This window comes from Homo sapiens, chromosome 11, assembly GCF_000001405.40.
Source record: "Homo sapiens chromosome 11, GRCh38.p14 Primary Assembly".
Classification (NCBI taxonomy): domain Eukaryota; kingdom Metazoa; phylum Chordata; class Mammalia; order Primates; family Hominidae; genus Homo; species Homo sapiens.
In genome coordinates, this window is record NC_000011.10 from 73282916 (window position 1) to 73295894 (window position 12979).

The 12979-nt window shown below is 53.9% G+C and overlaps 1 protein-coding gene across 16 annotated transcripts in view, besides 3 other annotated features; it reads left to right on the forward strand.

Moving 5' to 3' along the window:
* The window catches only part of P2RY6 (pyrimidinergic receptor P2Y6), a 34120-nt gene that overhangs the window by 18410 nt on the left and 2731 nt on the right, over positions 1 to 12979 (forward strand). For 7 of the 16 annotated variants that reach the window (NM_176796.3, NM_001277205.2, NM_176797.3 and 4 more), the window contains one exon: positions 12815 to 12900. The exons of 7 other annotated variants lie outside the window; for them this stretch is intronic. The gene's annotated coding sequence lies outside the window, so the exon portion shown is untranslated. Of the gene's footprint in view, positions 1 to 9871; positions 10006 to 12814; positions 12901 to 12979 lie in introns of those variants that run through there. 2 more of the 16 variants (NM_001438744.1, NM_001438743.1) reach the window with 2 other exon arrangements.
* Positions 5802 to 5851: an enhancer, noted in NCBI's record as "active region_5232". NCBI's record gives its function as "activates an Ori minimal core promoter by ATAC-STARR-seq in GM12878 lymphoblastoid cells {active_cell/tissue: GM12878}" and the evidence as "EXISTENCE:reporter gene assay evidence [ECO:0000049][PMID:35858748]".
* Positions 6403 to 6969: an enhancer, noted in NCBI's record as "H3K4me1 hESC enhancer chr11:73000363-73000929 (GRCh37/hg19 assembly coordinates)". NCBI's record gives its function as "activates a minimal SCP1, AML or CMV promoter by ChIP-STARR-seq in naive H9 embryonic stem cells {active_cell/tissue: H9 hESC(naive)}" and the evidence as "EXISTENCE:reporter gene assay evidence [ECO:0000049][PMID:30033119]".
* Positions 12442 to 12491: an enhancer, noted in NCBI's record as "active region_5233". NCBI's record gives its function as "activates an Ori minimal core promoter by ATAC-STARR-seq in GM12878 lymphoblastoid cells {active_cell/tissue: GM12878}" and the evidence as "EXISTENCE:reporter gene assay evidence [ECO:0000049][PMID:35858748]".

The window sequence follows — 12979 nt, forward strand, 5'->3', positions numbered from 1 at the left end:
ATCCATTATTTCATTTGAGCCCCCAGTGATGCTGTGACTGTTGACAATACTTAAAATTAAGGACTCAGAGGCTCAGAGAGGTAAAGTCACAGCTCATAAGCTGCAGAGTCAGGACGGGAACCCCCAGGTCTGTTGGGTGCCAAGCTTTGCAGAGGGAACAGTGATGGGTGACAGAGGGGTACAAATGCTGGGATTGGGCATTTGGATCTAATTCCATGGGCTGGGATTTGAAGAACTCTGGGTTTTCTGGGGAGCTCTGAGGAGAGACCTGTTCCAGGAGTGAATCCTCACATTTTGTATCCCCAGGGGCAGTAATCTGGGGAGCCCTGTACCCCAACCCTCACCTACTCCATAAGCAACGACCCCTCCTATTCTGTGACAGAAACCATTGATGTTTTCTCAAACCAGTGTCACAAGCTATGCAAAGGTATCATCCCAACCAGTCACCTCCCTAATCCCCTGCTACACAGATGTCCTGGAGGTGCCCCTGCCGGCCCTGATCCCCACCCACCTTCCAGGCAGAGTCCAGGCCCTTTCCTGGAAGCCAGAGAGGTGGCTCTCCTCCCCTAGCCCTGCACCAGCCCTGGGTGGTGCTCAGGGACGTCAAGCCCAGTCATGCTCAGTGGCCTGTTTTCTCCCCGAGGCCTGTGTTTTCAAGATCACTTTGGAGATTTCCTTGTGGATGGAGCTCAGACAGTTGCTGGCTCCTTGGTTCCATCTTGCCAGCCTCACCCAGAAGACAGAGTGCCCACTGCTCTTCCCGGAGCTGGGCTCAAAGGCTCCTTGCTCTGCCCTGGGCCTGACTGTAAGTGTGTGAGAAATGGGTGCAGGGAGGCAGGGCTTGTGGGTGACTCTTCCAGAAGCTTGATTGCGCAGGGAGGAAGAGGAACAGACGGAGAGGCACGAGGGGTCAAGGAAGACATTTTGCTCAGATGAGAGAGGGACTGGGGAGTGGGAAGTGTTTGGGCTGAGGGGAAGGAACCAGCAGATGCAGCACAGGGAAGGTGCTGAAGAGAGGGCAGGAGGTGGTACCTGGAGTCCCGCGGGGCTGTGGATGGGTGAGGAGAGAAGGTGCAGACACACGGGTTTATTTGGACAGTGGGAAGCTGAAGGCAGCCCCTCTGAAAGGCTGTCTGCTTTGAAGGAGGAGTTGAGGGCTGGTAGAGTTGAGGGTATGGGGCTGACAAGAAAGATGGGGCCAAGGCTTAGAAGACAGAGGAGGGAGGATGCCCTAGGACAGACAAAAGGTTGGGGACCCAGCCAAGTGGGGCAGTGACAGGGTCTGCAGGGCCTCAGGCACTCAACCAAGTCATGTCCTCCAGCTCTACTCAGCCCCACAGTGCAGGATGGAGCAGTCTGGTGTCACCATGAATGAGGGACACGAATTGACTTGTTGTGTTCATGGGAATCCTGGGTCCTGGTGGGGAGGCCTAGGCTGGCAAGGGGAGGGAGAGAAGCCAGGAAGATCCTTGGCCGGGCCCTGGTGCAGAGGGAGTGATCCTGTGCAGGGAGGTGAGAGTACCAGAGAAAACCTCAGGCAGGGCAGGAGGGAGATGCAGGCTGCCTAGCCCTGCCAGGCGAAGTTCTATTCACCCGTCTCAGCTGGGACTGTTCACAGCCCAAATCTCACACACACGGCCAGGCAGAAGCAGCCCCAGGGCTGGCTTAAAGGCCTTTGGTGCTCACGTTTAATCTCTATCTGCTCCCAATCCCCAATAAACACATACTCTTAAGTACAAACTACAGCTTGCTACATGAATAGCCTCAAGCCAAGACCCCCGTGCACCCAGTCCTCTCTGTGTAGACATAATTGAACCACGTCTGGAATTTATTTGTTCATTCACTCAACAAATATTTATTGAGAACCTACTATATGCCAGACACCGTCCTAAGTACATGCAGCAGTGAAAAAAAAACACGAAAACCCCTGCCCTGGTGGAGTTTATGTTCAGTCATGAGAGAGAGACAATAACCAATAAATAAGTAGAACAGTGTATTAAAAGATTTTAAATGCTAAGGAGAAAAATATAGCAGAGAAGGGGCGTAGGAATCACACATGCACATGCGTTGCGTAGGGGTTTATAATTTTAGCTTAGAGTGGTAGGAGAAGGTCCCATGGAGAAGGTATCATTCGAGTGACCACCTGAGGGGGTCTGTCCTACGTCCCTTTTTTGAGACAGGGTCTCGCTCTGTAGCCAAGGCTGGAATGCAGTGGTGTGATCATAGCTCACTGCAGCCTTGGCCTCCCAGGCTCAAGCGATTTTCCCACCTCAGCCTCCCAAGTAGCTGGGGTTACAGGCACACGCCAACACATCCAGTTAATTTTTAAACATTTTTTGGTAGAGACAGGCTTTCTCTATGTTGCCCAGCCTGGTCTCGAACTTCTGGGCTCAAGTGATCCTCCCGCCTTGGCCTCCCAAAGTGCTGAGATTCCAGGCGTGAGCCACCACACCCGGCCTGTCCTGTGTTCTTCATGCACACTCCACAGCAGGAGCCACTGTTGCCTGCTGACCTCCTACATTGCACTCTGAATGAGGTAGTTGCCCCTTACTTTGATCTCTTCCTCCCAGGCCACCCCTTGGACACCCACAAAGTCCTCTTCCTCCCACACTGGACTGGCCACAAACAGGCCAGTTTGAGGGTGAAGATTTGGGGTTTGGCGACAGGCAGTCCTGCTGATTGGAAGATCACTGACGGATTGGTGGCCCTGGCAAGTAACTAAGCTGTTGGGGGCCTTAGTTTCCTCCTCCCAAAAGAAGAGACTATGCCCCCCTTACAGGCCCCAGGCAGGCAATGAAACAGGACAGAGGGTAGCAAAGGGTTTTGTCTTCAGGTTTGAAAACAGCCACAGACCACGGCCTCATCCTTGAGGATCCACCACTAGGTCTCCTGGGACCTGGACATGTGCCTGAAATTGCCTGGTGAGAATGAAGACCAATAGATGGATGGTCTTGGGACAACCTCTGCAGGGTGTCCTGGGGCAGCCAAGCTATATGGCCCCAGAGGCAAGCTGGACTGGTGTGGGAGAGCAGTCACTAGGGACAGATCTTGGGGCTTGGTGTGACAAAGCATATCTCCCAGTGAGCTTTCTCAAGGTGGAATGCAGTGGCCTAGGAGAGGAGTGAGCTCCCTGCAATGGGAAGTATGCAGGCAGGGGCCAAACAAGCCCAGTCAGGGAGGCTTCAGAGAGCCCCCTTCTCTGAGGGGATGATGGGGAGACCTCTGGGTCAGGTGACCTTAAGGCCTCCCTAGCCCTGAGGGTCCAGAACTCAGAGGCCTGTCATTGACCCCTGGGTCCAGCTGGACGTCTTATCACTGCCAGGTGGGCTCAGGCCCCAGGAAGAGCTAGGGATGATCAGAACAGGAATCAAGGCAGGGGCTGCCTTTCACGGGAGGGGAGGAGTTCCCTGAGGCTCCCCTTCCACACCCAAACCTTACCTGTACGAGTTGTGGACAAAACTGCCTACCTTCGGGCCTCAGGGTCTGCCTGGGAAATGGGCAGGATCATAACCCACAATAACCACTTGGCGGGGTTAGTGGTCTGCCTTTCCTGAGGTGGGGACTGGGGGACCCAAGCAGTCTCAGAGGTGCTACTCCTGAACCCATTACCTTCATTCTCCTTGACAAATCTTCTCTGTCATCAGTCAAGACAAAGATTTAAAAAAAAAAAAAAAATGGAACCAGGCAGCACCGAGGACAGAGCCCCGGCGCTCATCTTTATAGACTGGATCCAGTCATCCAACATTTCCCAGTGCCTCTTGGGCCAAAGCCTATACTGGTCTCTGAGGCTCCAGAGGCAAAGCAGACCTTGTCCCCTGTTCCTAGCAGAGTTAGAGAAGGAAAGGGAGGGAGTCTGACACCGCCCCTTCGACTGGTCTTCTTCTCTGCCCTGACTCTTGACCTCCATTTCTTTGTCCTTTCTTAAGCCACTCTTCCTGAGAGACAGGGTATCATGGTGGATTTATAGTGCACTTTGGGCAAGTTCCTAACCTCTCTGGCCTCAGTTTTCTCGTAGGGAAATGTCACCTGTCTTCCTGGGCACAAGGTGCAGATCTACAGGCAGGACTCCTAGTTTCAAGTGACAGAATCCTAGGTTAAATGGATTGAGGCAAAAAGGGAGTTTATCAGCTCATGACACCAAAGGTAAAACCTCAGGCACAGCTGAAACCAGGCACTCAATGCTGTTCTCAGGAAACGATGCATCCCCATCTCTCATCTCTGCCATTCCTTGGCTTTCTATGTGGATAGTCTCCTCCCTGGTGGCAGTATCTCCGTCGCCCAGGACAATGCCTGGAACTTAGTTCACTTGGCTCCAGCAGCTCCTGCCTCACTTTCTACTAACTTTGCAAATATTGTGGAAGACCTGTCTCCTTCCTGATGCCCCAGTAAAAGCGCCAGAATTGACTCTGAGGCATGCAGTGAAGGTCACTCCTCCACCCTGAGCCAGTTACAGGCCTGAGGGGCCCACTCTTCTCTCATTGGTAGGCTTAGATCACAGACCCATCACTCCCAGATCCCCAAGACTCTAGAGGGGAGAAGGGGGATCCCCCAAAGGAAAATCAGAGGGCAGCGTCGTCATCATAAGAGGGGGTCTGGGAACTGGGTGGGAAGAAGCTACAGAGGGGCTGAACAATGACTGCCAGGCTAGCCAGGTGGCTGGACCTGGGCCATCTCTCCCCCCACGGACTGGAGCCTGGTTATCTGGGAGGATGGGCGGATCCTGAAGGCACTAACTGTGGCCATCAGCCAACTGCACTACTTGCAGCTAAGCAGCAGGTTCCTTCTCAAAGGGAGAACCAAGTGGCCTCTCCCACAAGGAGACAAACAAATGGGACAGCCTGGTTGTCCAGGCAAGGCACAGAGAGCTTCTCCCACTAGCTCCAGGGGAGAGTTTTTTAGGAGGCCCTGGGGATCTCCTGGAGCACTGGGTGGGAGGTGCAGTGGCCCTATAGGCGTGGACTTATACAGGCTGGGCACCACAGGCCGTCCCTCTGCTCACCGGGGGCTGCCCTGTCACAGCTGCTCCCTGGGCCTCTGTGCTATCCACACAGTTCCTCAGTCTCAGGGCTGCCCTTGACCTCTCAGCCCTGTGCCCACCGGGGCCGCGTGGTCTCTAACCCTCTTCATTCACATTCCCAAGAAAGAACCTCTTGCTAACTTTGCTATGCCTCAGTCACCTCATCTGTAAAGTGGAAACAGTAGTTGTGAAGAGTGAATGAGACACGGCACATCAAGCATTTTGCACAATGCTTGGTGCATCGTTAGTGCTCAATGAATACATGTGTCCAGGTTGTGGTGGGACTTGTGGGTGCACTCTTCGGCAACTGGGGCCCCTCATACATAGTGGGGTCTTGGGAGATGCAAGTTCCATCTTTGCTAAGCTTGAAGAGGCTGGAGAGAAACCAAAGGAAGCAGCCCCAACCCTCAAATTCCCCAAAGCTGCAGCTTCCTCTTCCTTTCACTGAAAATGGCTGTTTCAGTTTTAGCTTTAATTCCTGTTGAGTGGGAGGTTGAGAAGGGGAAGTGGGAAAGGAGTAGAAAAATCAGGGTCCCTGCCTTCCACGTTCCCTTCTGCCAGGTTTGTCCTTCTGTAGCCAGCCAGATGCCACAGGTAGGACCAGAACTCCTCCAGGTGAGAGGACTCTGCTTCCGGCCCTCTGTCTTCTGGGTGCCAGGGAGGCACTGGCTTTAGGAATCTGGCCTCAAGCTGGCCTCAGGTGGGCTCCAGGGGCAACCCTGCTTCAGGCTAGAGGCTGCCCAGAGTCAGGATTGGGTTGATGACTGGGGCACAGAGGGTATAGTGACCCTGTATAGTAGGTAGGTACCATAAGTAGCCCTGTTTACCCAGGCTCAGAGAGGGTAGGTGGCTCTCCCTAGGTCACACAGCAAGTTGGTGGTCGATCCCAGCCTGTCTGACTCCTCAGGGGAAGGAAGCGAACTCTTGACCCCTGACATCCTGTGCCCTTTCTGCTAACTCACCGGCCAGGGGCCAAGCAAGGGGGTTTCCAGGCCTTTATTTCCCAGCAGGCAGGCAGGCCAAGGTTAGGAAGCCTCTTCCACATCCAGCCTGGTCTGAGCTGGTTCCTGCCTCAGCTGGCTGGCAGACAGTGACTCAGGCTTCCAGCTCCTGCCTTTGGCCAACAGGTCCCCTCATCCATGCTAGATATGAAGGCCTCAGGGGATTGGGGAGGCTGTGGGGTCATGTAAAGTTTATCCTGAGACCATAGGATCTACGCAGCCTGAAGGGCTAGGCCCCTTGTCATTTCTTCCTATGTCCATACTGAGTCGCTCCTGCTCTAGAACTGACCCCATGGTTGTCGCCTGAACTGAAAAAAGGAAACTGGAAGAGGCTGTCTCTGCTGTGAGGGGAGGGGCTGCCGTGTTTTGCCAAAGGTGTACCCGGGTGGAGATGGGCGGTGGATGCTTGAGGCCAGGGCCTCTATGTCAGACAGACAGGGCGTGGTGCTGACCCTGTCGTCCCTGCCACGTCCCCAGTGGCTCCTGTGACCACATCGACCAGGGTGAGGACCTGAGAACGAGAGCTTCAGCTCATCTGGGGAGGGTGAGTGGAAGGAAGGTTGGAGAGTGGGTCAAGAGGAACTGAGACTGGAAACCCAGTCCGGAGGCTGCTCAGTGCCAGCCCCGAGGGGAGGCCCCCCACTGTGGGCAGACCAGCCTTGCCCTCACCCCTCCCTGGCTGTGTGACGGAACGGGGCTGGCTGTCCTCTGGCGCCATCTCATGGCTACAGGGTCTCAATGCAGGGAAGACCTAACTCCCCTGGGAATCCCCTGATCTGAGCATCCAAGCTCCGATTTTGGGGGGAACAATGGAGAAGGGGGCCTTAGGGTCAAGAAGAACATGTTGAAATGCCACCTGGCTGGGATAGCTTGGAAAACTCACTGGCCCTTCCTGAGCCTTAGTTTCTTCGTCTATAAAGGGGAGGGAATAATCCACCCCCCACCAAATTGCCCAGAACTGCAGATAAAACATCTGGCACAGAATAGGCATTTAAGAAACAATACTGGCCAGGCACGGTGGCTCACGCCTGTAATCCCAGCACTTCGCGAGGCCGAGGCAGGTGGATCACCTGAGGTCGGGAGTTAGAGACCAGCCTAACCAACATGGAGAAGCCCCATCTGTACTAAAAGTACAAAATTAGTCTGGTGTGGTGGCACATGCCTGTACATCCCAGTTACTTGGGAGGCTGAGGCAGGAGAATCGCTTGAACCTGGGAGGCGGAAGTTGCAGTGAGCCGAGATCGTGCCATTGTACTCCAGCCTGGGCAACAAGAGTGAAACTCCGTCAAAAAAAGAAAGAAAGAAAGAGAGAGTCAGAGAGAGAGAGGGGGAAAGAAAAGAAAGGAAGGAAAGAAAGAAAGAAAGAAAGAAAAGAAAGAAAGAAAGAAAGAAAGAAAGAAAGAAAGAAAGAAAGAAAGAAAGAAAGAAAGAAGGAAAGAAAGAGAAAGAAAGAAGGGAAGGAGGGAGACTGGCTGGGCACAGTGGTGCATGCCTGTAATCCCAACACTTTGGGAGGCCAAAGAGGGAGGATCTCTGCCAGAAGAAGGCTCTGCCTTGGAGGTTCATGATGGGCCAGCCCCTCTCAGGCCTCCCATCTGAGGCCCCCTCTTTGCAGAGCTCATCCATTGCTCTGGCTTCTGTATTTATTTATTTCTCACAGAGGTTAAGCTCATTCCCCACTTCTGTGCCTTTGCCCACACTGGGCCTCCTGTCTGCGATGCCCTCTTCAGCCTTGTTATGTGTCCAGGTCCCTCTGGCCCTTCAGTGCCCAGCAATGGACATGCTTTCTCCATGAGCTTTGCAGGTTACTCCCTCCCAGGTGCACCCATGACCCCTCAGACCTGAGTGTTCCCTCCCGGGCCCTGCCCCCTCCTCTAGGCCTAGCCAGGTCCATGGGCAAAGCTAAGGCCCGGTGAGAGCAAGGCAGTTCCTTGGCTCCGATTCAGTCATCCTTAGATTCTTTGAAGTCCCAAGCCCTAGGATGCTGTGGTTCCAAGGTCCTGAGGGCCCTCAAACCTAGACTCTGTTAGGAAGGCAAAGAACTAAAAGGCCGGTGGGTAATGGGTACTCAGTGGTTGTTGAGGTGCCAGGCCAGGCCTCTTGTATGTCCTTGAACCCCTGAGAAGAGGGTGAGGAAGGGGCAGCTGGCCTTAGTTTCTTTCTCCATCTGTCAAGTGGGACCCCATGAGCCTTTCCTTCCCCTCTGAGGTTAGTCCAAGTGCTCTTATCTGAGCAGAGCGGTGGGATTAGGGGTCTCCAGATCTGCACGTCTGGGTGGATAAGGCATGATAGGGACAGCTTTGTGTTTCCCATCCATCCAGGTTGCAGGGACTGAGACCACTTAGGCTTCTTACCCAAGCCTTGCCCTGCCCTGCCTTGGGGCCAACACCTCCCAGGAGTCCTCAGAGCTGTTCCCATTCCTGGGACAGTGACCCGCCCTGCTGGGAGTGGGTACGGGAGGTTGTCCCAGGGACCCAGCAAAGGACTGGCTGCTGAGCTGAAGGCCACCTTGCTCTCCTGGGCCACAGCACAGGTCAAATCCAACCAGGAGGTCCACACTCAGCTGGCAGAAGTGACCTCTTAGCACAGGCCTGAGCAAGCACTAGGTGCTCAACCTGTGCACAACTGACCAAGTGTTTACCAGAAGTTCAAACCTGATTTTTCTCAGTGTGATCCAAACTTTGGGTTCCCACTCTGTTCCTCAATCCCCTTGCCTGTAAAAATGGCTTTGGGGTGAGATCGATGCCTTTAAAGGCACCTTCAGCTCTGATGCTCTAGGCTCTAGGAGTCTCCTCTGCACCTCCCAGGGTAGAAGATGAGCCACCCTGAGTGGCACTTCATCCTCCCAGCACACTGGTGATCAGTATGACCATATTCTACCGAGGAGGCTCAGAGAAGGGAAGGGGCTTATCTAGTCAGTGATTGGGGGCAAAGGTGGAGTAAGAACCTGGGCCTCAAACTCCCAGGGCAGCATTCTTTCCCCACACCATCCTCCCATGCCACCTGCCTTGCTGCCTCAGCTGCTCCAAATCAAAGCCCACCTCCTCCAGGTCGCCCTCTTGGAATGCTGCTTCCCCCTCTGGAGCTGGCCTCCCTGGGACAGTGAGGAGCCACATCCCCTGCTCTGGTCTCCTAACAGCTCTGAGGCCAGTTTGGTGGTGAGGAGGGGCTGGGGTGGATGAGGCAGCTGGGTCCTCAGGGGCATCACATCTATCTCCACAGCCCACGTCCATCACTCCTCATGCGCTCTGCGCCTGCCGTGTGGAAGGGGCAGTCGCTGTGAAATGGGGGAATGTGGGAGGATCTGGTGACACATAGTAGGTACTCGATAAGTGTGTGTGGAGAAAAGAAGAAGAGGGAAGCGGGGGGAGAAGGCGGCTGAGTAAGTTTGTACGTAAGTGGATTGCCACATGGAGGGATGGGTAGATGGACATGTTGGTGAGTGAGCTATTGAATGAGGGAAGGCAGGCTAGATGGGTGAGTGAATGGCTGGGAGGAGGAATGGACACCCCGTGGCTCTGAGTGTTATAGCTAAAGGAGGAGCCATGAGCTCTCTAATCACTGCCCTACCCATTTGACAACTGAGAAGACTGAGAGAGGGCTGAGCAGAAAGAAAATTCCTGGTTCTGTGGGGCTGGCAGCCTCTGGTTCTCCCCTACCCCTCCTCCTCTGCCCCCATCCCCCTCTTTCCCCTGCTGGGGTAGGGGAGTATTCCGGGAAGGACGCCTTTTTTCCACCTCCTTGCTCCTCTAAGCCCAGTTTCCGCCAGGCACTAGGCGTGGTGTTGGGGATGGCAGGGAGCCGGTGGCCCCCACAGGGGCTCTTTTAGTCAGAGACAGCCCTGCCAGGAAACAGAGGAAGCTGCTCACTCTGTCAGAGAAGTTGCAGCCTAGCTGAGGGCAGGAGAGTGGGGAGCCTCAGGTCTGGCTTCCCTTTGCCCCAACACACTTGGGACCACCAGCGTGCTGCAGGGACAGGAGGCTGCCTGTGAGTGTCAGTGCATCTTGGGGCCATGGGCCAGTGCAGGGGTTGCGGGGGGTGGGGGGGGGAGGTGGACACAAGGAACTGTGACTTCGGGTAGGTAGGCTGGGTTCAGCATTGACTTAAAGGAGGGCCACAGAGTTAGGAGGCCCAGAGGAAGGGATTCCACCCAGCTGGGGGGATAAAAAAAGGAAGAAGCAAGGTGAGATCTGGAGCTAGATAGACACTTAGGGTTTTGATGAATGGAGATTAGTTGAATGGCATTTTGTGTGAAGGGAACAGTGGAGATGGGGAGGCTGGAAAGGGATTCTGGCTCTCTGGCTGCCACTGGCTGTGTGGGAGTCTCCATGTCTTGGGAATGTGTGACAAAAGAGGAAGGGGCAAGGGCAGAGTGGCCCTGGCGTACTTCAGATAGGACTGGAGGGCTTGGCAGGGGTCTTGAATGTCAGGAAAAGGGTTTGGGCTTTTCCCCCAAAGGGCAGAGGGATGCAGAGAAGGATGTAGTCAGAGCCACTTGTTAGCAAGCCCCCCACCATGGGCAGAGTCCAGCCCAGGAAGAGGCTGGGGTCTAGCCTGGTCCAGGACTTAGGACCCAAAAGCTAGTGACAGATGTCAGCGCCAAGGTCAGCTGCTGCCTGGAGGTGGGAGCCAAGAGCACCCTCCTTGAGGCCGGCCCCTGCCAGGAACTGGAAGAACAGCTCACCTCTCCTAGGTCCTCAGAAAGTAGACAAGAGAGCCCAGGCAATGGCCAGGTCTGTCTTTCCTGACACAGCCCTGAAGGTTTTCCCAGAGAGCTGTGCACCGGATCCCCTCCTGCAGCCCCCTGCCTCCTTCCAAGAGGGAGGGGAGGGGGTCCCAGGAGGATCAGTCTCACCAGGGTGTGGGAGCGGCACACTGCAGCCCCCAGTCATCTGAGACAGAGGGCTGTCCCTGGGGGTGGGATCTGAGGGTGCAGGCCTCCCAAAGGGAGGTTGAGGGATGCAGCACCCCTCTAGCATGTTCTCCTCCTCACCACAACCCTCTTCCCTTGCAGACTGGTCTCCTCAGACCCTGTGTGAGGAGAGGGGTCAGGGAGGGGCAGAGGCTGCCTCTTGAAGGCCAGCCCCACCGAACCAGCAGTTTTCTTTCTCCTCAGATTTCTTTGTCAGACCCTGTATGAGAGGAGATCAGTCTGCAAGGACAGAGGGTTATGGTGACGAGGGGAACATGATAGAGGGGTGCTATGTTCTTCAACCTTCCTCCTCACCCGGAGTGTCCTTACACCCTTTTCCACTCATGGAAATCCTCCTCAACCACCCAGGCCTTGCTCTGTCTTTCATTCTGCTCTGAAAAGTCTCTTCCATCAGGTGGCTCACACTGGTCTCCTCCATCAGACTAGCATATCTGTATCTGTATCCCCATATCTCCATGTCCACCTATACACTATGCCCTCATGTATCTAGCTGGCAGGGAGGACTCCGTGAATCCCTGTCATGTGAAAACAAGAGAATGAACATGTGAATGAGAATGGCCTGAACCAATGAATGAAGAGATGAGTGGACATTCTCTGCCTGTGCTAATCCTGGCTTCCTGGCTATGCTATGGTGGGCTGCTATGTTTCTTCCTCTGGCCTCCCCATTGTGCCTACCTTGTCCTAGCTGGGCACCCAGCACCCCTAGCATATGGGCTAAAGTCCCACAAAGAATCTTTGATAACTGAGAGTGACATGGGATGTGGGCTGCAGACTATAGAATCCAACATTATCATTTTGCCCAAAAATGGGATAAAATAGCTCCACCAAAATGAAATTGCAAGTTGGGACAAATGTATTTTTCTCTAATATAACTTTAAAAAATCCCATAACCTTACTTAGTAGGTACAGTAAGAACAGCAAACACTTGGCCCCATGCCAGGCACTGATCTTCACAACAATCTTATAAGGCAGGTACTATCTCATCTCATTTTACAGATGGGGAATCTGGAGAACAGAGGTTAACTAGTATGCCCAAGACCACAGAGCTCATCCATGGCATAGCTGGGACTTGAACCTGAGCATCTGGATCAGAGTCCATATACTTTGCCTGAACCCTTTACCACCCACTGAGTGCATTTGCAGGACTTCATATTTTTTCTGGGCTTCAGTTTTTCCATCTGTAAAATGGCAAGAGAGGAGGATTAGATTCACTATCTCAAAGGCCCATTGGATTTAAGTTGCAAATTTTCTCTAGACACCAGTAATATGGCAATGTCAGTTTCGAGGTGAGTGTCTAGGAGTCAGACTTACCCCATCAGGGAACCCCTTAGGGTATTTGTGCTGCTGGCTCTCCCAAAACCCAGCCCGAAAGAATGAGAGGAGGGACAAGATGTAGAATGCAATGGCATGGCATTTATTGAGCACTACTGAATGTCATCACCGCATATTTCACTGATGAGGACACTGTGACATAACCTGCTTCACACAGCATGGAAGTGGGGGAGCAACATTTAAACCCAGGCCTGCCTAGCTCTGAAGTTGGTCATGTAACCTCTACATCCCATGTCTGTGGGCTACACTAAGCTGTCTCTTCTGGATTGGGCAGTTGGGTTCTGGTTCTGACTCTGCTCTGAGTCACGAAGAAAGAAGGAGCAGTCCCTGCCCCTCACTGTGCCTGGATTTCCATCTCTGTAAACAAACGGTTGACTCGGTCCCTCACCCATCCGCCTTCAGGGACGCTGTTTTCACTCTGGGCACTAGGAGGCGCTGTGTTGTCAGAGGCTCTGCCAAACCTGCCTTTGTAGCCTCAAGTGGAAAGAAGCCTTGGGGAACTGGGTATCACCTCCTTCCCCTATTTTACAGATAACAAGACCTCTGCCAGAAGAACCATGGCTTTGGAAGGCGGAGTTCAGGCTGAGGAGATGGGTGCGGTCCTCAGTGAGCCCCTGGTGTGTGGACCCTTCGCATTGGTTAACTAAGAGTTATCAGGGCCCTTTTCCGCCCCAGACCCTGGGCGAAGATGCAGAG